At 49.2% G+C, this 859-nt stretch overlaps 1 annotated feature.

The window, feature by feature from the left end:
* Positions 358–859: an enhancer, noted in NCBI's record as "H3K4me1 hESC enhancer chr16:48047095-48047596 (GRCh37/hg19 assembly coordinates)". NCBI's record gives its function as "activates a minimal SCP1, AML or CMV promoter by ChIP-STARR-seq in naive H9 embryonic stem cells {active_cell/tissue: H9 hESC(naive)}" and the evidence as "EXISTENCE:reporter gene assay evidence [ECO:0000049][PMID:30033119]".

Genomic DNA, 859 nt, shown 5'->3' on the forward strand with positions numbered 1-859 from the left:
CATGGGACCCAAACTGGACCAATCATGCCAACATCATCAACTCCAAGACTTGGCTAGAATGATGGAAGATAGGTCCTCTTTTTCTCCTGTGGCTAAGCTAAGTAGGATGTCATTCTGAAGCTCCTACTGCGTGGGGAGAGTGTGAGAATGCAACAATAGGAGGAACCTAGGCTGGGCTTAGCTTGGGGGGCAGGGGGCGGGGTTGAGGGCCTGGATTCAGCAGCGCTTGAGGCTGGACATATCCTTGGGCATCTCCGAATTATGGATCCCCACATTCCTGTTGTTCCTCAAGAATGCCTGAGCTGGATTTCTGTCACTGAAAGCGTCTTAATACAGTTTCCACCTCTTCCGGTGGCAAGCTCACTCTCTGCCCAGGTTTCTTTGAGTATACTAGTTTGATTTCTTCCCGTGGCCACTGCCCAAATCCAGGGCCTTGATGTGTGGTTTGAATCCTAGCTCTTCTATTTCCTAAATGTAAGGCTTTGAGTAAGTTACTCAAACTCTCTGTTTCCTCATCTGTAAAATGGGGACAGCACTATCTCATCAGGTTGTCTGGGAAACTAAATGAGCCCATTGATGTCAATTGCTTAGAAATGTGTCTAGCACATAGTAAGCACTCAAATAAGCATTAGCTAGCTGGTGCCATGTCTTATCCTGCATGCCGACCCAGGAGGAGATGCAAAACAGTTGCCACCGCCAAATGGTCTCCCCCGCTGAGCCTGCACTTAGAATGCTGGGTTGACACAAACTTGGCTTTCCTCCCACACCTCCTGTTACTTTTAAAGCATGCAAAGGGCAAAGTGAGTAAGCGTTGATATGTGGGCCAGGATCCCAGGGTGCAGCCAGCCATGGCCCCAGG

This window comes from Homo sapiens, chromosome 16, assembly GCF_000001405.40.
Source record: "Homo sapiens chromosome 16, GRCh38.p14 Primary Assembly".
Taxonomy (NCBI): domain Eukaryota; kingdom Metazoa; phylum Chordata; class Mammalia; order Primates; family Hominidae; genus Homo; species Homo sapiens.